The following is a 24,352-nucleotide window of genomic DNA, read 5'->3' as shown; positions in this document are numbered from 1 at the left end:
CAATGTATGATAGCTACGTTGTGTTTCGTGTTTGAGTTGTATCTTTTCTATATTAATATTTTGAAAATTGAAAACTCAGCAGGGCATAGCTAGCTCATTTTTCTTAAAAGTAAGCAAGCAAATCAGCTTGAATTAGAGACAAATCAGTATCATTAGAGACAGGAGATAGATAGCTTTCCCCTCTTTCCTTCTCATGCCTGTGTCCCTGTTTTTCACCAGGGCTGTGACTTTTTAATACGGAGTAGGTCTTCCAGGTAATCAGACAGTAACACATTGAACATTAGAGCCTAAGGTCATCGTATGGGTCTGTCTGTGGCTACTTTCCCTCATTTATTCATTTATGGGATGTGTGTGTGTGTGTTGCTTTTTTCTTTTTCTGAGACAGGATCTCACTCTGTCACCCAAGCTAGAGTGCACTGGTGCGATCTTGGCCCACTGCAACCTCCACTTCCCAGGCTCAAGCAATCCTCCCACCAAGTAACTGGGACCACAGGTGCACACCAGCACACCCAGCCACTGTCTAATGTTTTTGTAGAGATGATGTCTCACTGCTATTCCCCAGGCTGGAGGGATGTGTTGATCATATAAAAACATGACAGGACATTATTTCTCATGTCCATTTTAAACCTTTTTTAAATGTTAATTTTCACGTGTCCTGCTTTTCTCTTTGCAGGTCCATCGGCTGGTGGTGGTAAATGAAGCAGATAGTATTGTGGGTATTATTTCCCTGTCGGACATTCTGCAAGCCCTGATCCTCACACCAGCAGGTAAAATGCTGGTTTCTGACCTTTGCCATCGGCGTCTAGGAAGGGTGGGAGGTAGAACAGGAAGTGCAGCATTTAAACCATCATTTCTCCACCCACCTACAGATCAAGGCTTTGAGTATATTACTTTGAAACCATTTTCGTTTTCTCTTCAGTTGGGAAGTTTAAGTGTTCTGCGTGAGTGAGGAAAGTGTATAGAACGTATTCGAAGTTAAGAGCATCCTATCAAGGTCCAGTGGCCCCCTAAATGACTTGGGAGCCATTGCCATGTTCATCATAACCTTTTCCACTGAAAAGACCTCTTCAATTGTGCTTTGTGAGAGAACTAGTGACCAGAAACATAGAGGGAACGTCACTGGCTTCTATTTGATACCTTCATCTTTCCTTAAAGAGAAAAAAAACTTATATTTTGAGTAGATAAAACAGAATACCTAAACACAAACTTTTATTCATTAATATTGTACAGAAATCACATTCACTTTCAGATAGAGTGTGGTTAAACTCATTTTTTGACAGATTCACTTTGAGCAAGCCTTCAGAGTCTCAGACAGTGAGGAGCAGAGAGAACGGGAGAGGGCTTTAGACAAGAGGAGCTGGCCTTCCTCTCATTTCACACACTCAGTAGTAAGAGGTGGGCTTGAGAGTTCTTAAAACTGCCAGCCCTCCCTTCCCTCCTCCTCTTCCCATCCCTCCACCTCCCCAGCCCCAGTCAAATATGAACAACCCAGCCTTTGTCAGGGCCACATGGACCCGATGTGGGAGCAAACAGCATGCCCTTTGAACTCTCAGAATCCAATATTAAACGGTGTGTGTGCTACAGTATTGATTTCTCTTTAGTTCAGAAATTTCAGTTAAGACTAGTTTTTACAATTAAGTCTGTAACCCAAAAATACCTACCCTAAAGGAATCTTCACCACCTGCAAGAAACATGTCTTATTCGCTAAATGAGAACACCAAGAGAAATTCCAGTACAGCAGTGATTTTTCCGAGGTGGTCCTCAGGCCAGGCATCATCACCACCACCTGGAATTTACTAGAAAATGAAATGTTCATGTTGGGGCCCCGTCCCATATCCACTGAATCAGAAACTCTAGAAATGGGGCCTGGTGCAGTCACTTGCAAACTTCAAGTGTTTAAAAGACCTGAATCTCACAATAGTCTCTATAATCATGAAACATTAAGAACTAAACGAATGTTAATGCCATAAAACTGGGAATAATCCAAATATCTTTGAAAAGAAGAATGGATAAATTGTGTCACATTCATTCGATGGAATACGATACAGGATTGAAAACGAACAGTACAGCTGCATTCAACAGTGGAGGAATCTCACAGGCAACATTGAACAGAGGGAGCCAGGCTCATCCAGACCATCATTAAATTCATATAAATTTCCAGGCAGGCATAACTGCACAGCACATTTGTGCTAACTAGAAAAGGCCTCTTCTCTGGGCAGATTTATCCCCACAGGTATATAGCTTGGCACCTTCAGAAAAAGATGCCCCGTTTCCAGCCCTGGACCACGGGACACAGTCTGCCCAGCGGGTCAGGCTGAATGTCAGCTCTTGTCTGTCTCTTTGGGCATTACAAAAAGAGTAAACAAGTCAAGCGATTCATCCTCTCTGTTTCTTGATATCTCAAACCATAAGAATGAACGGTTGTGCTGGATGAGTTCAAATTTCCATCCAGATTTGGTATTTCAAAAATTCTAAGTCATTGCAATGCCCCTCCCATCACTGCTGGTGCAGAGAGGAATCTATTTCCAGCTGGAATTTGGAATGTATGTTACCATAGAAATTGTGCCGTGAAGATGGGGGTAGCTGGGTTGGAATTCCTTATGATACAGTGTATACAACACGATTTGTTGAGGAAAACATTCCGTGTTACTAATAACTGGATTACAAGTGAACTTTTGGAGTGGAACTCAGGGAGCGCCTGCATCTGATCAACAATCGCAAGTGAGGAGGCCCCCACCGTGAGGCCAAGTCCCAGCTGTCCCACCCGAGCGCTGTCTGAATGTAAGCAAGTCGCTTCACCTCCTTCAGCCCCAATTTCTTCAGTAGAGAAGGAGCCGGCTGATACAGGCCCGTCTCCCTCCTATGTTGCTATGAAAAGAGCTGAAAGCCGTGCACAAAAGCCATGTGTGTGCAATGAGGCGCAGTGCCCGGGACCTGCACTGTTAGGTGGTTGTCCATGGAATAGTCAGTAAGAGGCAGTTTGATGAAGTGTCTGCTGTTACTCGATTAGAAGGTACTAGTGGTGATTCTTTTCATCGGGCAATGGCCACCGTTCCCCAGAGGGGTACTGGTTCAACACAATAACACTTTCTCTTTCTCAAAAAAGTTTTTAGCAACAGTTCATTGTCAAACTTAGACTGTCCAAATGAACCCATGTGTGCGTGCATCCAGTGTGTGGGCAGTCTGATGCCAGGAGCTACGGTGTTTCAGCCACACGCTCTAATAGATTGCCGATCTCTTTCAGGGGTCTAGCGTCTGGTGAAAAATTAGGAGAGAAGCTCCTGTGATGAGAAAAATAGTAGCTCTCCCTGCCAATCCACTGTGGAATGTCCTAGCCAGATACTTGTTAGGTGCAATTATCCTTCAGAATATTTATAAAGGTTTTTTTTTTGTTTTTTTGTTTTTTTTTTTTTTATTTGAGACGGAGTTTCACTCTTGTCAACCAGGCTGGAGTGCAATGGCATGATCTCTCGGCTCACTGCAACCTCCACCTCCCGGATTCAAGCGATTCTCCTGCCTCAGTCTCCCAAGTAGCTGGGATTACAGGCGCCCGCCACTACGCCCAGCTAATTTTTGTATTTTTAGTAGAGACAGGGTTTCACCATGTTGGCCAGGCTGGTCTTGAACTCCTGATCTCAGGTGATCCGCCCGCCTCGGCCTCCCAAAGTGCTGGGATTACAGATGTGAGCCACCGCGCCCGGCCTAAACCTTTTTTTAATACATATTTGTAAGAGTGCACAACTGAAATACTTCACACCTTCACTAAAACATACCTACATATTTCTTAGTAAAATTTTTTAAGAGTGGAATTCTTTTTTTTTGTTTTCCAAGTTAAATCTGACATATTTAGAATGACAAGATGTTACGTGGATCCAAGCTGCCCGAACGATTGGGTGGGAGATGGGAGCTTGGGCCACCTGCTCCTTCCCACATCGCCCTCCTCCGAAGCCTCTGGATCATCCTCCTAAGGCACTGCCAGACACAGGTAGAAACCCCTGGGGTAGAGAACCCTGCTGTTACCATGAGCTTTGAAACTTTCATCTTCCATCCACTGACAGGTGCCAAACAAAAGGAGACAGAAACGGAGTGACCGCCGTGAATGTAGACGCCCTAGGAGGAGAACTTGAACAAAGTCTCTGGGTCACGTTTTGCCTCATGAACACTGGCTGCAAGTGGTTAAGAATGTATATCAGGGTTTAACAATAGGTATTTCTTCCAGTGATGTTGAAATTAAGCTTAAAAAAGAAAGATTTTATGTGCTTGAAGATTCAGGCTTGCATTAAAAGACTGTTTTCAGACCTTTGTCTGAAGGATTTTAAATGCTGTATGTCATTAAAGTGCACTGTGTCCTGAAGTTTTCATTATTTTTCATTTCAAAGAATTCACTGGTATGGAACAGGTGATGTGGCATAAGGTGAGTGCACGGTATGTTCAGATCACAGTGCCTTATGTCCGAATACAGCAATATGTCACCGCCGCAGCCGGGGCGCACGCGTGTGAAACAACACCGAGCTTGAATGTGGAAGTCTTTGAACCTTTTACCAAATCAGTTTGTTTTCTTTAGATTTGTCAAAAAGTTGTAATTTGAATATAAATAATTACTTTAAAATTGTAATGACACTTTTACACGTAAGTGTTTTGTTCTGGGCTACCGTGTCAACGAGGCTGCTTTACAACAGCTTTATTTATTTTTACTTTCATGCAATTTTTTTACACATCTTTTGGTGGAGTAAACTTCACCACATCCATGAATAAACTCTCAGTTATTTTGAAATGGCAAATTTCTCATTATTTAAGTTTGGATCTGGAAAGGACATGACTTCTGAAATAGCCGCTGCTGGGTTTTAAAAGCTGAGGTCTCTCAAAGTGTGGAGGAGACGTTGCCGTCAGGCGGGAGCCAAGTGCCGGGAAGATGTCTATTTTTTTTCTTGTGTATTGAAATGTAAAATCATGATGTTTGTTATGACTGCTGATGCGATTGTTTTTGTAAATTTTATTGTGGCATATACAGTATTGTCATACAGTTGAAGAGAAACAATGTTTCCTAATGTAAGTGCTCTGAAAATGTTGACACTGTATATATATATATGAGGATAGTTTGTTTTTTTTTTGTTTTGGGTTTTTTTTTTTCAGATTGAAAAATTAAAATAGATCCTACTATCTACCATTTTGTTAAAGAAGTTATTTAAAATGCCTTATATTTCAACACCTATCGATTAAAATTCTACATGCAGTTTTCCACTTAGCTATTTCTCCCCAAATAAAGAAGTACATGAATTTCATCTCTTTTCCGGTATCAGGAAAAAAAGTCAGGGTTTAATTCATAAACTCTCTCTCTCCACTATTAAGTATGAATATATGTATTTATTATTTTTATTTTATTTTATTTTATTTATTTTTTTGAGACAGAGTCTTGCTCTGTCGCCCAGGCTGAAGTGCAGTGGCGTGATCTCTGCTCACTGCAACCTCCACCTCCTGGGTTCAAGCGATTCTTCTGCCTCAGACTCCCAAGCAGCTGGGATCACAGGCATGCACCACCACGCCCAGCTAATTTTTGTGTGTGTGTGTATTTTTAGTAGATACGGGGTTTCACCACGTTGGCCAGGCTGATCTCAAATTTCTGACTTCAGGCGATCCACCTGCCTCAGCCTACCAGAGTGCTGGGATTACAGGCGTGAGCCACCGTGCCTGGCTGAGTATGAATATATTTAATTTAAAATTGCCACACAGGTTTTTTGCATGGGTGCTAAGGTATCAAGTTTTTCATTTCCTAGTAGTCCAAATATGAGAGGGAGAGCAAATGTGTATGTTTTCCCCATAGAAACAATAGTGGTTGTGATTTAAGCTAATGGTAATATTTGGGAGAAAGGAAAAAGTCACAAAGCTGCCAAAACAACACAATTTTGAAACTCAGAGAATTTATCAATCTGCTCCTTGTTTGTGTACCCAACACATGAGTGTCTGCAGAGTACATATCTACATACAGGTGACGTGGCACATATATAGGTACAGTCGTGGGCCATGTACAGATGCTTCAGTCAAGGACAGACTGCATATATCACAGTGGCCCCATGAGAGTATCACAGCAGCATTTTGCTGTACCTTTTCTATGTTTACATGCACAAATACCATTGTGTTACAGTTGTCTACAGTAACATGCTGTACAGTTTGGTAGCCTAGGAGCCATAGGCCATACCTATAACCCAGGCATGTAGTGGGCTGCACCATCTAGGATTGTGTAAGTACACTCTATGATGTTCACACAAAGATGAAATCACCTAGGCCAGGCGCAGTGGCTCACACCTGTAATCCCAGCACTTTGGGAGGCCGCGGCAGGTGGATCATCTGAGGTCAGGAGTTCGAGACCAGCCTGGCCAACATGGCAAAACCCCGTCTCTACTAAAAATACAAAACTTAGCCAGGCGTGGCGGCGGGCACCTGTAATCCCAGCTACTCGGGAGGCTGAGGCAGGAGAATCACTTGAACCCAGGAGAAGGAGGTTGCAGTGAGCCTAGATCGCACCACTGCACTCCAGCCTGGGTGACAGAGCGAGACTCCAGCTCAAAAAAGAAAAGATGAAATCACCTAACAACACATTTCTCAATGCATTCTCATGGGTAAGCAACACATAACTATAGGTCACCACGTGTATAGTTATATAGATGATGTGGCATATATCTAGGTGTGTAGGTGACATAGCATATTTTTGCTTTAGAAAAGGGTTTCGGGGCATGTAGAAAGGTACTCGCGATTCCTATTCCTATTCCCGCGAGGCTCGTTCAGCAGAGCTTGGTCTCCCTCAGGCATGCTTGTTCCAGGCTCCTGAGTTGTGCCAGGCACGGCACGGCTCACAACAGGCCTCTCACTGAGGCTTGGCCTTGGAGCAGCCTCTTCCTGTTGTCAGGCTACAACTAACAAAGGCCTGGTACCCTCTTCCAGCGAAGGGTTGGCATTTGTTCCTAGCAAATGGTGAAGGCGTGGCTGTGGTGAGCGTGCTGCTCCTGCTCAGTGCCTTTGTAGGAATAAGGGAAAGTGGCCCTGAATGAGGCCAAGTCTAGTTAAAGGCCACACATTGGTAAATATGTATTGAAGGAGAGATTTGAAGGGAATAAGTCTTAAGTGGTTCTAGATAGAGAAACCCTTGCTGGGTGACCCCCAGGTGTCTGCCCTGACCTCGTCATGGTGAGGCTCAGAGGGACCCCGTGGGCGCTGGCTGCCTGTGCTGTCCCACCCCCGCCTTGAGGCGGAGCTGAGGGCACTTGAGAGGATTGTCCTGAATGTCACCTGGGTGGTGGATAAGGGCAGGTGCATGTCACAAATCAAGGATGTTGGTTCTGTTTCGCATTCTAATCTCTAAGAAGAGTTTATGATGTAAATGTATTGAACTGATAGAATTTCTTAGAACATTTCTTAGGAAGGTTTAGTCTTCTAAACTCAGGGAAGCGGACGGTCTTCGCGGCCAGGGGAGATTCTGTTCCCCAGGGGGGCATTTGGCAATGTGGAAACATCTTCGGTTGTCACAGCTTGGGGTGGGGAGAGGGGACTGCGATGGGCCAGGCCCTGCTCCTCTGCCTGCACCCAGGCCCCCTAGCTCACTCATTCAAGCCACCTCCTGGGCCTCACAGGCATTGGAGGGCGAAAGGCTTTGGATGGGAGCTGCCCCTGGCACACAGCAGTGGGCTCTCAGCCGGGCTGACGCTGCTCTCAGATCAGCTTCCTTCCTTTCCTGCTGTCCCCGTCCTCACCTGTGCCCTTTGGGCCAATGGGGAAGAAGTGGCCGGAGCCGGGCCCTGCACTTGTGGCCGACTTGCCTGAGCTGCAGAGAGCAGAGGAGACACGGAGCGTGCGATGGAGTCTGCGGGGCTCAGGCGCGAAGGCCCAGGAAGGAGGAGCAAAGCTCCCACAGTGGCCTCACTTACCCGCCAGGCAAGGGGAGAGGGTGGCAGTCGAGGAGCCCTCACCTCTGTCTACAGCCCTGCCCCTGGGCACCTCACTCCTGTTTCCAACACAGCCTCCTTCACCTCTGCTCCTGCACACACAAAGCAGAAAAGCTGGAAACCACCTCGTTTTCTGTGCATTTTTAAATCCTCCTCCCCACCCCTTTGAAAAGATCTCCTAAGAGGGCAGCATTTCCAACAGCTTTGAATGCATTCGAGTTGTAAGCCCTAAGAGGTGTCCCTTCCGAATTATGGCCACTATGCCTGGCTGCATTTTTAAACCAAAAATCGAATCACTTCAGTGCTGGGAAACCCTCGCTGCCTAGAGAATCCAGCCTTATCTCCTGAGCTGGGAGATGGAGGCCCTCACTGGCCTCTGCCCACACTGATGCACTTCCCTGCACTCCAGAAGGGTCCCCAGCTTCCACACCTGCCTGCCTGCACCATATCTCCAGATTCTCCATCTAGAGCAATTCTGCTCATCTCTCAAGATCTGAATCAAATATGACTTCTGCTGTGACTCTCCCTCCCCAGCAAACAGATGCCCCCTCCCTCTGTGCTGCACAAGACCCGCCACACACACAGCTGTATTTGTTGTAAGTCACCGTCCCTACCCTACCCTCACTCCCTCCTGGCCAGCGGAGAGCAGTGGTTGAAAGCGGCTGGCATCTGCAGTCAGAGGAGGGTTTGCTGCCCGGCACTGCTGTCACTGCCAGGAAGCTGTTGTGCAATCCCTTACCTTGTTTAGACTGGTTTTTCTCACCTGGCAAGTTGTTTATAGGCAACAGCACTTTGCAGGCTCTAAAGGACCATGTAAATGTTAGTAGCAGTTGTTGTTGACACAGTGGTCCCCTGAGTCCTTTGAGGAGGGTGACCTGTTCATCTCGATGCTCTGAGCTCTGGCAAGGATCCGGCATGTGGCAGGTGCTCAACTGATGTCTGTTCAGAGTCTGGACAGTGGCTGGTGAAAGCCAGCACGTCTATGTGGATCGTGGCGCTGGTGCAGCGTCCCCATCCCACAAAGTTTTTCCCTCTAGATTGCCAGTTGACTATTAAGTTAGAGAGATGCCACATAATCTGCAGTGTTACAGACAAATCCAGAGGTGGCCAAGTGCGCAGACCAACCGCGCACAAAGAATACGACTTAGCCATGTGTGGAGAGAGCTCCTCTTGCCTTTTAGGAGAACGGAGGAAAGTGTCCCAGTGCCTGCTCAGAAAGAAAAACAAGGCTGGCTCCAGGAGCCAGAAGTACAAAAGACTGCCCCTCACCTCCACTGAGGGAGAGATTTGATGAGCTCATTCCTGAGCCTCTTGAAATCCAGACCCACGATTCCCTGATTTTTACTGTTTTAGGGGCCAGATGCTGTGACTCATACCTCTAATCCCAGCACTTTGGGAGACCAAGGGAGGAGGATCATTTCAAGCCAGGAGTTCAAGACCAGCCTAGACAACACAGTGAGACCCATCTCTACAAAAATAAAAAATTAACTGGCGTAGTGATATGTGCCTGTGGTCCCAGCCACGCCGGAGTCGGAGGTGGGAGGATCAGTTGAGCCCAAGAAGATCAGTGCTGCAGTGAGCCGAGATGGCGCCACGGCACTCCAGTCTGGGTGACAGAGCAAGATCCTGTCTTTAAAAAAAAAAAAAAAAAAAAGGCTGGGCGTGGTGGCTAACGCCTGTAATCCCAACACTTTGGGAGGCCGAGGCAGGCGAACATTTGAGGTCAGGAGTTTGGGACCAGCCTGGCCAACATGGTGAAACACTGTCTCTACTAAAAATACAAAAATTAGCTGGGCATGGTGGCACACACCTGTAATCCGAGCTACTAGGGAGGCTGAGGCTGATGCAGGAGAATCATTTGAACCTGGGAGGCAGAGGTTGCAGTGAGTCGAGATCTTGCCACTGCACTCCAGCCTGGGCAACAGAGCAAGATTCCGTCTCTAAATAAATAAATACATAATTTGATTTAATTTAATTAAGTACTGCTTTAGGACCAGCCCCTGGGATAAGTCCTAATCAGAAGTGTCCAGTGGAAAGAGGAGAAGGTGGTACCCCTGGTTCAGAGGAGTCTTTCAAATACAGGCACCAGCCACCTGGCCTGCAATGAGGGGGCTCTCATGAGGCTCATGGTCCACATCATCTCATGACTTTTTAGAACTTCACAAAAGAGATGTTTCCTCCCCAGTCCCTCTGGGCTTCAATACTGATTTATATAACAACTGTTACACTGTGCACAGAGTGCCCTGCTCCACACCAGGCACTGTTCTGGGGGCTTAGGACTCATCTAGGAGGCAGTAAACTCCCGTGCTCAGGAGCTTGCGTTCTAGTGTGGGGGAAGAAAGGAAAAAGAAAAAAATCTTAAAGCAGAGCAATGTAAGAAGGATCTGGAAGCTTTGTTACAGCTGTTTCCTCTCCCTGGAATATTTTCTCCAGATACCAGCTGGGCCAGCTCCCCTGCCTCCTTCAAGTCCTGCTGAAATCTCACCCTCATGATGAGGCCTGCTTAGACCACAGACTATTAATCATTACTACTACTGCAAATAACAGTAATGCAAAGAAAAATAAGGGGAGGAGACCTACCAACCACCAAGTGCTTCTTCCTGCCAGGCACTCAGCCAAGTGCTTTGGACACATGATCTTTTTTAATCTTCACACGTTATCATGAGGTAGTCTTTATTATCCCAGAAATGTTAACTAATTTGGCCAAGTTCATACCACACCAAATTTGAGGCCTTCGAAACAGTCTAATACCAAATCCTATGCTCGTTTTTTGGTTGTGTGTGTGTGTGTGTGTGTGTGTGTGTGTGTGTGTGTGGTTTTGTGTGTTTTGTGTGTGTGTGTGTGTTTTGGTTTTTTGTTGTTTTTTTTTTTTTTGAAAGAAGATCTCGCTGTCACCCAGGCTCGGGTGCAGTGGTGGAATCACAGCTCACTGCAGACTTGACCTCCTGGGCTTAAGTGATCCTCCCAGCTCAGCCTCCTGAGGAGCTGGGACTACAGGCATGTGCCACCATGCCCAGCTAATTTAATGTGGGTTTTTTTTCTTCTTTGTAGAAATGTGGTCTCCCTATGTTGCCCAAGCTGGTCTCAAATTCCTGGGCTCAAGCAGTTCTCCCACCTTGGCCTCCCAAAGTGCTGGGACTGCAGGTGTGAGCTACTGCACCTGGCCATAGCCTATGCTCTTAATCCCAGTTCCAAATGGCTGCTGTGAGCTAAACTGTGTCCCCCCAAAACATATAATGTCATTGTCACCCCTGGTTACTTATGCATGTGGCCTTATTGGAAATTGTGTCTTTGCAAATATATTCAAGTTAAGATGAAGCCGTTAGGGTGGGCTTTAACCCACTATGACCAGTGTCCTTAAGAGGGCAGTTTGGACATAGATGCTGTTTTAGTCCATTCTGTGCTGCTATAACAGAAAACCACAGAGCGCATCATTTATAAACAAGAAGTTTATTTGGCTCACGGTTCTAGAGGCTGGGAAGTCCAAAATCAAGGGGCCATATCTGGTGAGGGCCTTCTTGCTGAGTCATAGCATGGCCGATGGCATCACAAGGCAAGAGGGAGCCCAGGAGCCCACACTTCTTTTTTTGTTTGTTTGTTTGTTTGTTTGAGATGGAGTCTGACTCTGTCACCCAGGCTGGAGTACAGTGGCGTGATCTTGGCTCACTGCAACCTCCGCCTTCCAGGTTCAAGAAATTCTCCTGCCTTAGCCTCCTGGGTAGCTGGGATTACAGGCGCCCACCACCACCCCCAGCTAATTTTTTTGTATCTTTAGTAGAGACAGCGTTTTGCCATGTTGGCCAGGCTGGTCTTGAACTCACGACCTCAGGTGATTCACCCGCCTCAGCCCCCCAAAGTGCTAGGATTATAGGCCTGAGCCACCGCACCTACCCCAAACTTGCTTTTATAAGAAACCCACTCTCAGCATAAGGACATTAATCCGTTACATTCTTCTTAAATGTCCTACCTCACAATGCTGTCACACTGGGGATTAGGCTTCCAACTCATGAACTTCAGGGGACACATTCAACCACAGCAGATCCACAAAGAGAAGAGCATGTGACACTGGAGGCAGAGGTGGGAGTGACACATGCACAAACTAAGAAATACCAAGGACTGGCATAACCCCGAAAGCTAAGGAAGCGTGGAACAGATTCTCCCCAGAGCCTTCAGAGGGAGCGTGGCCCTGCAGCGCTTTGATTTCAGCCTTCTGGCCTCCAAAACTGTGAGAGAATCTGCGTCCCTTGTTTTAAGCCAGCCAGTTTGGGATACTTTGCTATGGCAGCCCCAGGAAGTTAATACAAATGCCTCTCTTTGCACCCTATTTTACTGATTTTTTTTTTCTGCAATACAAGTTTTGACACTTTTACCCGTTTTCACCATTAGGTGAGATCAAAGCCTCAATGTTAATAACAGAGAAACTAGACCTAGGAAGCACAAAGGGCACCCAAGGCAGTCCCTCTCCTCCCAGTGGGAACCCTGAGGGAAATAAGAGATTCCTAGTTGGGAGCAGAATGTAAGTGTCACTTTGAGTGTATCCATCTTAAATGCTTCATCAAGAAGACAAGGGGATGCATGTCAAGCTGAAAGAGTAACAGCCCAACACAGGAAAGGATGGAGGCCCTTGTTCCCTCCCGAAACGTTTCTTATGTTTGCCCTTTGGGCTGACTGCTGAAGCGGGGGCAGCCAATCTCCAGGCGCATCTTGGAGGTCAGCGGAACGTGCAGTCGCTGTGACAAGCACAGGCTGCCCCTGATCCTCCCCACCCTATGCCTCTAGCCTTAAAACTGGTTCTTCACTTCTCTGGATCTCAACTTCCAGATCTGTAAAATGGGAATAACAGCACCTTCTTCTGAAGGCATTTGGGAGGCTCAAGTGAAATAATGTAAGTAAAACACCTGGCACATAAAACACTTAGCATGTTAAGTGAGATCATGTAAATGAAACAGATGTACAGGCAGCAAAAGCAAAAGTAGACAAGTGGACTGCATCAAAATACAAAGCTTCTGCACAGCCAAGGACACAATCGACAGAGATGTTCACTGCCACTCCCCAAGATGGACATGGCCTTGCTTTTGGGAGATGAAATGCAACAGCATCGATCTGTGTTTTCCCGCAGCAGATTCCTCCCGTATGCCTTCTAGTTCATGTTTTTAAAGGAAGAAAGAAAGACCTCAGATCAAACAGTGGTCAAACCTATCCTGTCTTCTTACAAAAAAAAATCAAACTTGAATCAGATCAAGCCACTTAGGTCTAACTATTCATGTACAGGAAATGCAGACACAGGAACCCAAACAATGAGCCTATAATGGGCAAAATCCATAAAACCCGTATTCCTCAACAGATGCACTGTAAGAAAACAAAGTGGGGGGACAGGGGACAATGAATGCAACTACATAGGCCAAATTCAATGTGGGGACCCTTTTTAAAAATGATTTCATAATTCAGAGATTTGAATATTGACTGAGTAGTTGACAACACTGAGGAATTCCAGGATTTCTTTAGGTAGGATCATGGTATTATGGATATGGTTTTGTCCTTTTAAAAAATAAGTCCCCCCTCCTCAGTCCTTAGCTGGACACAGTGGCTCACACCTGTAATCCCAGCACTTTGGAAGGACAAGACAGGAGGATCGCTTGAGTCCAGGAGTTCAAGACCAGCCCGGACAACAGTGAGACCTCATCTCTACAAAGAAATCAAAAAATTAGCCAGGGCATGGTGGCATGCGCCTATAGTCCCAGCTATGCAGGAGGCTGAGGTGGGAGGATCCCTTGAGCCCAGGAGGACGAGGCTGCAGTGAGCTTGATCACACCACTGCACTCCAGCCTGAGCAACAGAGTGAGAACCTGTCTCAAAAAAAAAAAAAAAGTCCTCATCTGCTAGAGACATACACTGCAACATTTATCCATGAACTAATATAATGTTTGGGGTTTGCTTTAGAAGCATTCAGAGGAATAGAGGTGGGAGAGTGGCTTGGGGGACAGATGTAACAAGATTGGCCAGGCATTGATTAGTGTGACAGAGCTAAGTGCTGAGTATGTGTCTGAAATGTTCCATAATAAAAAGTTGTTCGCAAGAGAAGTAAACCATTTTCTTTCCTTTCAAAGTAACTGCATCTTAACTGAGACATATTAAAATTAAAATGTATCTGATAGGAAAGATAAGGCTGAGAGTTAAAAACAGGCACTAGAGATTTTTCAAATGGCAACAGAGATTCATTTCCTGGTACTTTAAAATGCATTCATTAGAAATAGGGCATGCTACTATTATTAGCACATTGAAAGGAAACTCACTTAAAGTAACCATATTATAGATTTCAGGCATCTTAGCACAACACATAATGATGAATACTTTGGATGTGTTCATAATACTTCCCCCCATAAAGTCCTATTTGTGCTATAAATTAGTTGACCCAAATGCTTTTTTTAAAAATACAGTGTTTTTTAGGAAGTGTAAACATTTTTTAAAAAAGAAAACAGGGTGCACTTTCTTCTCTTATTGGCAAGGTGTCTTAGAGAACGAATGCTCCTTCCTCTGTTTGTGAAACTAAATGATCATCTGAGGATCCCGGGAGCACATGTTGTTGGAAAGTGAAATGACAGGCAGGGTGGCAGCCTCGCACCCCTGCCTGTCCACCATTACTTTCAAGTATGTGGTCACTGAAGGAAAGAACGCGCTGATCTTGAGGGCAAACTCCTCCTTCTCCAGCCCCCTTGCTCAAGTCCCAAAGGAGACGGCCAACCCACAACCCCTCCAAACACTCGCTGGCTTCCCTCCCTTCCTTCTAGTTCAGATTCCAATGTTTATGGCCAACATCATCAACCCGCCTGTGCTCCTCTTCACCTGAAAAGCCCCCATCCCTAGATGACCTCACCCACTGCCTTGCTCCACCTCAGCAATCACTTTTTCATTTGCTTAGTGTTCCATTAGTGTTCTATCACTAATTCATCCCCCAAAACTCTTAGAAGAAAACATAAGGAAAAAGCTCCTTGACATTGGTCTTGGCAATGATTTCTTGGATATGACACCAAAAGCACAGCCACAAGAGCAAGAAGATACAAATGGGATTACAACAAACTAAAAAGCTTCTGCACATCAGAGGATGCAACCAACAGAGTGAAGAGGCAACGATACAATGCAAGAAAATATTTGTAAGCCATACATCCGAAAAAGGGTTAATAACAACATATATAAGGAACTCCTACAACTCAATGGCACAAAAACTAACAACCTGATTCAAAAATGAGGTAAGGACTTGAATAGACATTTCTCCAAAGAAGACATACAAAGGCCCAGCATCACTAACCATGAGAGAAATATAAGTCAAAGCCACAATGAGGTATCACCCCATTACTGTTAGGATGGCTGTTGTCAATAAGACCTAAGGCAACAAGAGTTGGCAAGAGCATGGGGGAAAAGGGAACCCCTATACCCTGTTGGTGGGAAAGCAAAATGGCGCAGCTGCTATAGAAATTTTTTAGAAACCTGTTCATCTCCTCACAGTGAGTTGCACCTCAGGTACTTTGTGTTTCTGTTCTTCTCAGAGACCTCCCTCCTGCACCTTCCCATCCTCTTGCTTCCATCTGGATGAATGACTTTTCTAGACCTGCTGCCCAGCCAGAAGCTGGCCAATTTGATTAGTTCTTTCTGAAAACAACATTTTGCCGTCAGGTGCGGTGGCTCACGCCTGTGATCCCAGCACTTTGGGAGGCCAAGGTGGGCAGATCATTTGAGGCCAGGAGTTCGAGACCAGGCTGGCCAACATGGTGAAACCCCGTCTCTACTAAAAATACAAAAATTAGCTGGCTGTGGTGGTGGGCGCCTGTAGTCCCAGCTACTCAGGAGGCTGAGGCAGGATAATCGCTTGAACCTGGGAGGCAGAGGTTGCAATGAGTGGAGATTATACCACTGCACTCCAGCCTGGAAGACAGAGCGAGACTCTGACTCAAAACAAAAATAAAAACAAAAATAACACTTTTCCTTATGCATAATGTTTAACTTTTGTTTTCTATATCTTCGGTTTCTGCTCTTTCTTTTCTCTCCTTTCTACTTTCCTTGAGTTTATTCTTTGTCCTAATTTTTTGTTGTTGTTGTTTTGAGACAGGGTCTCACTTGGTCACCCAGGCTGGAGTGCAGTGGCACAATCACAGCTCACTGCAGCCTCAACCTCCCAAGCTCAGGTGATCTTCCTGCCTCAGCCTCCCGAGTGGCTGAGACTTAAGGCGCATGCCACCATGCCCAGCTAATTTTTTGTAGAGATGGGGTTTTGCCATGTTGCCCAGGCTGGTCTCAAACTCCTGAGCTCAAGCAATCTGCCCTCCTCAGTCTCCCAAAGTGCTGGGACTACAGGCATGAGCCGACGCGCCCGGTCCTAACTGATAAAATAGGTTACAAAGCTGTTTAACTTTCAGTCTTTTTTCCCCCTAAAGTAAGCGTTTAAGCTTAAAATTTTTCCTTTTATGGCATCTCATAAATTTTGACTCGTAGTGCTCATTTGTAGCATTTTTCTTATTCAGTTCTAAATATTTTCTAATTTTCTTTCTGATTTTTTGACCCATGAATTATGTAGATGTGTATTTCCTATTTTCCAGAAGTATGGAGTTCTCTTTTCTATGTTTTGTTATTGACTTCGAACTCATTTGCACTGTGGTCAGAGAACATGATCGATGTGAGAAACTCTTGGAAATTTGTTGAGACTTGTTTTCTGACCCATTGCAGGGCCAGTTTTCATAAGTGGTTTATATATGCTTGGAAAGAATGTGTATTCTCCGTTTGTTGAGTGCAATGTTCTATAGGTGTTTGTTAACAAGTTTGGTGAGTTTATTACCAAATCTTCCCTATCCTTACTGATTTTCAAAAACTACTTAATCTATCAATTACTGAGAGAAAAGTATTAAAATTTCCCACATGATTTCTACTTCTCTTTTCAGTTCTGTTGAGTTTTGCTTAACTTATTTGGCATAAATAGAATTAGCTTAATCATCATATACTGCTTTGGCTATTTAAAGTTCTTTTTGGCTGGGTGTGGTGGTTCACACCTGTAACTCCAGCATATTGGGAGGCCAAGGCAGGTGGATCACCTGAGGTCAGGAGCTTGAGACCAGCCTGGCCAACATGGTGAGACCCCATCTCTACTAAAAATATACAAATTAGCTGGGTCTGGTGGCACACACCTGTAGTCCCAGCTAGTGGGGAGGCTGAGGTGGGAGGATCACTTCAACCCGGGAGGTGGAGGTTGCAGTGAGCCAAGATTGCACCACTGCACTCTAGCCTGGGCAACAGAGCGAGAACCTGTCTCAAAAATAAAATAAAATAATCAAATGAAGTTCTTTTCTTTCCAGTTAACAATGCATGTTAGAGAGGGAGTTTTAAGAGACAGCAGTGGAAAAGAATTATGTTCTGATAACTATTTTTAGTAAGTAGTTTTTAGACCAGGTGCAGTGGCTCACTGCTGTAATCACAGCATTTTGGAAGGCCAAGGTGGGAGGATTGCTTGAGGCCAGGAGGTTGAGGCTACAGTGAGCTATGATTGTGCCACTGCACTCTCGCCTGGGTGACAGAGTGAGACCCTGTCTCTGTTAAAAAAGAAAAAAGTGGTTGTCATATACATATACATTATTTCTTTTTCAATGTTCTCCTTGTTTTGCTCTCATGAAACTCTTGTTCAAAATTGAGATTTATTGGCAACAGTCCAGGGATGGAAGAGGGGAGTTCATGAAAAGTGCTCTTCTCACCACCCCTCTCTCCCCGACTTCTGAATTCTGAACTTCTCAGCTCAACACCACACTTGTAACATCAGGCTGCAGCCTGAAGGTAAATGTGAATGAGAAGGAAGAGCATAGGAAGCATTAGGGCTTGTGATGTTCCCGTGAATCACTAAAGGAGTGCTCCCTGATTTGGTGTCCCAGTGTTTGGTACACCAGGAACAATGCAACCTAGTAGGACTTAGGACTAGCGAGGGGTCTACCTTTCTTTTCTGAGGTGGGAAAAGAGCCACAACAAACTCAGGTGCATGCCAGGCAGACCCATCTAGGAAAGGGCATGTCCATGTCAGTTGAAAACCTGGAAATTGATTCTCTTTCCATTGTCTGTTCCTGTGTAGCTCTTGGACAGCTTTTTTTTTTTTTTTTTTTTTCTGAGACAGAGTCTCACTCTGTCATCCAGGCTGCAGTGCGGTGGTGTGATCTCGGCTCTCTGCAACCTCTGCCTCCTGGGTTCAAGCAATTCTCCTGCCTCGGCCTCCTAAGTAGCTGGGACTACAGGCATGCACCACCACGACCGGCTAACTTTGTATTTTTAGTAGAGATGGGTTTTGCCATGTTGGGCAGCCTGGTGTCAAACTCCTGACCTCAAGTGATTCTCCTGCCTCAGCCTCCCAAGGTGCTGGGATTACAGGGGTGAGTCACTGTGCCCCGCCTCTTGGACAGCTTTTCACACTCCCAGGCCACCTGTGTTCCTCTTTGAAGACCTTGAATTCTTTCAATGTGTCCTGATCCCACAGGAGACTAGAATCCATCTGTGCCTCTTCTGAGTACATCTCCTGGACTCTAGCCCTGCATGTAACCATACAGAAGGCTGAATGAGGTGCCAATAGCTTCATCCTAGGAAATCCGGATTAAACGGACCATTTCTCAGAGATCATCTGAATCAAATTGGAAAATATCTGCCAACCTCACTGGGCATCACAGTCTAATAAAGTTGAAAGTCAGCCCTCCATCAGCTCATGAACTCACTCTGCTTCCAGGAGAAGTATTGACCAGTATCAGGTTCAAGTTACACCTAGCGAGCGGTTTCTAGAAATAGCCTTTGTAAGGAAAGGTACTGTGCTGCTTTCCTACTGGGGAAATATGTGCCGAGTGGGTCTTATGCAACGTGTGTAGGGATGCTCTTTAATTTAATCCCCAACCTTCAGCATGGGGACAAAACATGGGGATAGGGCATGGTAGAAGTCCTAGGAACAGGACTGCAGGGAGGAGAGGCACCGTGTCCTTTCTGTCTCCAGGCTGTGGCTCCTCACTTGGCTGGGCCTGGGGAGGAAGAGAAGCTGCCAGCAGGTGAGGAGCTCAGCCAGAGGCCTCTCGAAACCACGCGGTGTCCCCGTCTGGGGCGGTTTGACTGCAGGAGAGGAATGGAGGGAATGAACACAGCAATTTCATTAGCGTCTCTAAGAATAAAATTAGCGTAAGTTGTCATTTGAGTTAGTTAAATATTAGTGAGACAGGTATAAAAATGGACTGCTTTTACTTTTCAAACATATTCTATGATATTTATCATATTATATGATTATCTGGTTTAATTTTTAAAAATGACATTTATACCAAAATAACAATTGGCATGTAGCTTTTTAGAAACCACTTTGGTGGTTTCCAAAGTGTCCAACAATAGGAAGCACAAAAGTGGTTGTCAGGGTGCGTGCTCTGGAGCCAGTGAGCCTGCCTTCCAATCGCCACGTGACAGGGGGAGCAACTGGGCAGGCCAGCAGCCCTAAACCTCGGTTTTTTGCTTGTTAAATGGAGACACTAAATCATACCTATCCTCGTAGAGTCAGTGTGCGGGTTAGTCGAGGTCGTGCATAGAAGGCACTTGAATCCAAGTAAAAGCTCCATAGGTTGCTATTATTGTTGGAGTAGCTTATGATACATATAATGGAATACTACACAGACATTCAAAATTATGCTGTGGATAGATGCATATTTGCCAAACAGATGGCATTAAATGGTATGGACAGTATGATTTCATTTTTGTAGGCTCTAAATACATACAAATGTGATTAGAAAAAGTCTAGAAGTACGTTATACCAAAGTACTAATAGGAGTTACCTCTGGATAATGGATTTTCAAGAGATTTTAAAATATAATTTCTTTTATGCATTTTATTACACCTGTATACAAAATAATAATTTTTTGACCAGGTGTGGTGACTCACGCCTGTAATCCCAGCACTTTGGGAGGCTGAGGAGGGTGGATCACTTGAGGTCAGGAGTTCAAGACCTGCCTGGTCAACATAGTGAAATCTAGTCTCTACTAAAAAAATAAAAATTAGAAAAAATACAAAAATAAGCCAGGCGTGGTGGTGCACAGCTGTAATCCCAGCTACTCGGGAAGCTGAGGCAGGAGAATCGCTTGATCCTGGGAGGTGGAGTTTGCAGTGAGCCGAGATTGTGCCGCTACACTCCAGCCTGGAGGACAGAGCAAGACTTCATCTCAAAAATAATAATAATAATAATAATAATAATAATAATAAAATAACTTTACCGCTGAATGCCTTAAGAAAAAGCTTAAATCTTCGGGAAGCTTTGGTTGCATGGATCTACCAGTAACCATGAGGAGTCTTTGTTGCCTCTGCTAACACTTTACCTTATTTGAAGCAAAATTATTTAAATGCAAAAAGAGGTTTCAGGAGTAAATAAGCCACAAAACTAAAAAGACAAAATGTTGGCCGTTGTTATAGTCAACAATTCTTGTTTAATGGAAATTTATTTACACAATCCCAAGATTTTTTAAATTTTGTTTTTAGAGACAGGGTCTCACTCTGTTGCCCAGGTTGAAGTGCAGTGGTACCATCATCGCTCATTGCAGCCTTGAACTCCTGGGCTCAAGCCATCCGCCTCAGCTTCCTGAGTAGCTGGGACTACAGATGTGTACCACCACGCCCAGCTAATTTTTTTTTTTTTCACTTTTTTGTAGAGACATTCTCCCCATGTTGCCCAGGCTGGTCTCAAACTCCTGGCCTCAAGCGATCCTTCCACCTCAGCCTCCCAAAGTACTGGGATTACAGGTGTGAACCACTGTGCCCAGCTTATACAATCCCAAACTGTAAAAGAACAGTAGTTACCCCTTATCCACAGGAAATGTGTTCCAAGACCCCCAGTGGATGCCTGAAACCATGAGTAGCACTGAACCCTGTATAGACTATGTTTTTCTTGTGTGATAACTGGGATGGCTACTAAGTCACTGAAGGGCAGGTAGTATGTACAGTACAGGTACCTAGAGAAAGGGATGTCTGATTCACATCTGGGCTGGACAAAGCAGGGTGGAGCAGGATTTCATCACGCGACTCAGGGACGGCATGCAACTTAAAACTTATGAATTGTTTCTGGAATTTTTCATTTAATATTTTTTGGACCAGGGTCACCCATGGGTAACTGAAACCACAGACAGCAAAACTGCGGTTAAGGGAGGACTACTGTAATAATTTACCATAAATTCTAGACAAGTCAGGCGCAGTGGCTCATGCCTGTAACCCCAGCACTTTACGAAGCTGAGGCAGGAGAATCGCTCGAGCCCAAGAATTCAAGACCAGCCTGGGCAACATAGTGAGACCTTGTCTCTACTAAAAATAAAACCATTAGGCAGGTGTGGTGGCCCACACCAGTAGTTCCATCTACTCGGGAAGCTGAGGCAAGAGGATCCCTCGAGCCTAGGAGTTTGGTCCCAGTGAGCTATGATCGTGCCACTGCGCTCCGGCCTGGGTGACAGAGCAAGACCCTGTTTCAAAAATCAATACATAAATACTTTCTAAGACATATCCTTCAATTTCATAGAATTTAATTATCTACTCCCTAATATTTCTCTTGGTTGCATTACTAGCCGGCCTACCCTCCTCTCCCTTTGTGTGTATTCTGGCTTAATACCGACATGCAAAGACCAGCACTTGGCCGAACTCACTCAGAGATTCTGAGAGCCCCTAGTGAGAACCAGTCAGTTTGATAAGCAAAGGCTTTGCTTGGTATCCTGGCTCCCTAGAAAAAGCTATAGTCTGGTTACCTTAGTGACAGGGTTGTACTGAAAAGAAACAGAGAACGGTCAGGCAGCTGCACAGCCAGCCTCCTGCACACAAACGTGCTTAGAACAGGAACCCTGTTGGGGATACAGCCCTGCTCTCCTGCTCTTTCTGCCATCACCCCAAGAACAGCAGTGGGCGGTGGTCGCTCCCCATCACTCCACTCCTCCGTGATCCCCGCATCCATGGTTGCTCTGTCTGCTTCGTGGCTTCTGCTGCCTCGTGGCTCTAGTCTCCCTGGGTGTCCTTCAGCCTCCACCCTGCTTCTGACTGCAGACTCTTGCATCTTATATTCAAATATCCTCTGGCTGAGCAAGCCAATCACCACACAGAATAGATGGCTCTTTTGAGCAGAGCTCTGAGTCGGCCACAGGCCAGCTTAGAAACTGGCTGCACTAGGGTCAGGTGCCCCTCTCTGACCCAATCAGCTGTGGACCAGGATCTCAGAGTCACATTGCACAGAACATGACAATCTGTGCAGCAGGAAAACCCCAGAGGGACCCTTAGGGCACAAAAAGCTTTCTAAAATTTCCCCAGAAAAAAAGCTGTATAACTAACCAGCAAGCACGGTGCTTGATCTCAGTTCCACTGGAAATAAAACTATCAATACAGACACAGTGTGCTCATTTAGTGGTCTATCTGTATCTTACATAGCTGGCAAGTTACTAATGAACTCCTGTATCTCAGCAAACACTAAGATAAAGCTACACTCCCAAATAAGGATTGGATATTTCATTTAAGAATGTATTTATTGCTGAGCTCAGTTCTCTGAGATAATCCATTCTTCCACCAGGGCATGAAGCTTATTTTCAAAAGTGTCCTGTTTGAATATTTTTACTGTTTAATATATGGCATATTGAATGGCAAATTTTCTTGAGCTATAGACAGTTGGCTAATTTTATGCTTGCATTAATCTTAACATTTGTAATCCTCATGGAAATTAACAGCTAAAATTTCTTATACATCAATTAAAGATGGCTTTTTTTCTTGTAGTTTATCTAGGCACATCACTTTTTCTTTTTTTTTAAAATATTCAACTCATTTTGTGAGTTCCCTGTTTGACCCTGACCCTGGTCGTGCTGACATCTGCTAACAATAGAGACTTTAAACCAAGCCTGGCTCTGCACAGTGCACCAGGAGACTTTTGTACGAGACGCTGAAGGCAGACTGCTTTCTTCCTCCAGCCAAGAGCTGCCTCTAATGCTTTTCATTGGTTCCTCTCCAGCTGGCTGTTCTCTCTTCTCTTAACAACTCAAGTTCTTTTTTCTTCTGGGTTACCTCTTTAAGGTCAAGTAGTAAAGACGCTGCCCATCTTCAGAGGTGCTGGGATTGGAACCCTTTTAATTCAGGGAAGCATTTGATATTCCTTTCATGTTTGTGTTGTGTTTGGTTTGCTTTAATTTCAAATGATTTATGTAGCTAATCTTTCCTCCATCAAAATCAAAGGAAAGTTGGTCTTTGCTGGGAAATAAAAACTTGAACAAAAGCCACATTAAAGAACAAGTAACAAGAAAGGAACTACTGTTATGAAAGAATTCAGGGGAAGGTAAATATCATAGAATAATTTGAAGACAAGTTGAAAGGAAACGTCATATTCAGTGTCATATCACATACTGTATGTCACACAGAGGACAGAATCAAACACTAAATCCAGTCCCAGAAGAGACGGAGACCAGGCAAGGGAGGGGGAAAGACCGCAGGCAGAACACCCCTCCCTGTGGGTGAGTGCCCTCTGTCTCCGAGTGGCCCTGAGGCATGGCAAAGTGGAGTGTCTTGTCCAAGGCTATGTAGATTCTAAATGGCAGAGCAGGAATTCGAACTCAGGGGCTCTGTTTCTAAACTGAAGTCACTTCCTTGGTGAGATGCCATTTCTGGAATAAAACTGGCATATCCGTCAGCTTTTCTTTTCTCCTAATGATTTAAGGCACAAACCTCTCTTGCTTAAAGTCTGAGAGTCTGAGCCAATTGTATATCTTGTCCTTGTGGTGAATACCATCCCCCTCCAAATTAGGCAAACAGCAAGATTGGCAATTAGTCATCAAATGTGCAAAAACCTTTTATAAAAAGATAGGGTTCTGGCTGGGTGCGGTGGCTCACGCCTTGGCCAACACTTTGGGAGGCCAAGCTGGGCGGATGGCTTGAGCCCAGGAGTTCAAGACCAGTCTGGGCAACACAGCGAAACCACGTTTCTACAAAATATTTTAAAATTAGCAGGGCATGATGGTGTGTGCCTGTAGTCTCAGCTGATGGGGGGCAGGTGCTGAGGCAGGAGGATTGCTTGAGTCTGGGAGGTCGAGGCTGCAGTGAGCCATGATTACACCACTGCACTCCAGCCTGGGTGACAGGGCAAGACCCTGCCTTAGAATAAAAAAAAGATAGGGTTCTGAAGAGATGTTGTTCCTCTTCTGAAATGTTTTATACGTTCAGACACGTTTACCCCACCTTGCCATTTTTCCAGGGACAGTTACCTACTTATCAATCCAGAGAGTATCAGGATCAGATGGACCAGTACAAGCGTCACAACATCATTAAAGAACAAGGTCAGAAACCCAACTTCTGAGACGGATATGACCATATTTGCGAAGAAATGAAAGTTCATGTTTAAGACTAGTTTAGCCTCTTCGGGTGCTATA

At 45.1% G+C, this 24,352-nt stretch overlaps 1 protein-coding gene across 33 annotated transcripts in view, besides 3 other annotated features; it reads left to right on the top strand.

The window, feature by feature from the left end:
• PRKAG2 (protein kinase AMP-activated non-catalytic subunit gamma 2) overlaps positions 1 to 5,164 on the top strand; it is a 320,989-nt gene extending 315,825 nt beyond the window's left edge. For 22 of the 33 annotated variants that reach the window (NM_001407031.1, NM_001407030.1, NM_001407023.1 and 19 more), the window contains 2 exons: positions 674 to 767; positions 4,059 to 5,164. In NM_001407031.1, coding sequence (NP_001393960.1) covers positions 674 to 767; positions 4,059 to 4,090 — 126 coding nt within the window. In that variant the 3' untranslated portion in view covers positions 4,091 to 5,164. Of the gene's footprint in view, positions 1 to 673 lie in introns of all 33 variants that reach the window. The other 11 variants (NM_001407022.1, NM_001407021.1, XM_047420448.1 and 8 more) reach the window with 1 other exon arrangement.
• Positions 1,354 to 1,648: an enhancer, noted in NCBI's record as "tiled region #3106; HepG2 Activating DNase matched - State 8:EnhW". NCBI's record gives its function as "activates a minimal TATA promoter and a strong SV40 promoter by Sharpr-MPRA in HepG2 cells {active_cell/tissue: HepG2}" and the evidence as "EXISTENCE:reporter gene assay evidence [ECO:0000049][PMID:27701403]".
• Positions 21,982 to 22,182: a silencer, noted in NCBI's record as "peak6846 fragment used in MPRA reporter construct". NCBI's record gives its function as "represses an SCP1 promoter by STARR-seq MPRAs in K562 erythroleukemia cells {active_cell/tissue: K562}" and the evidence as "EXISTENCE:reporter gene assay evidence [ECO:0000049][PMID:32103011]".
• Positions 22,216 to 22,355: an enhancer, noted in NCBI's record as "active region_26867". NCBI's record gives its function as "activates an Ori minimal core promoter by ATAC-STARR-seq in GM12878 lymphoblastoid cells {active_cell/tissue: GM12878}" and the evidence as "EXISTENCE:reporter gene assay evidence [ECO:0000049][PMID:35858748]".

Source organism: Homo sapiens, chromosome 7 (assembly GCF_000001405.40).
Source record: "Homo sapiens chromosome 7, GRCh38.p14 Primary Assembly".
NCBI classification, from domain to species: Eukaryota; Metazoa; Chordata; class Mammalia; order Primates; family Hominidae; genus Homo; species Homo sapiens.
Note: the sequence above shows the minus strand (reverse complement) of the source record. Positions and strands in the feature narration are given on the sequence as shown.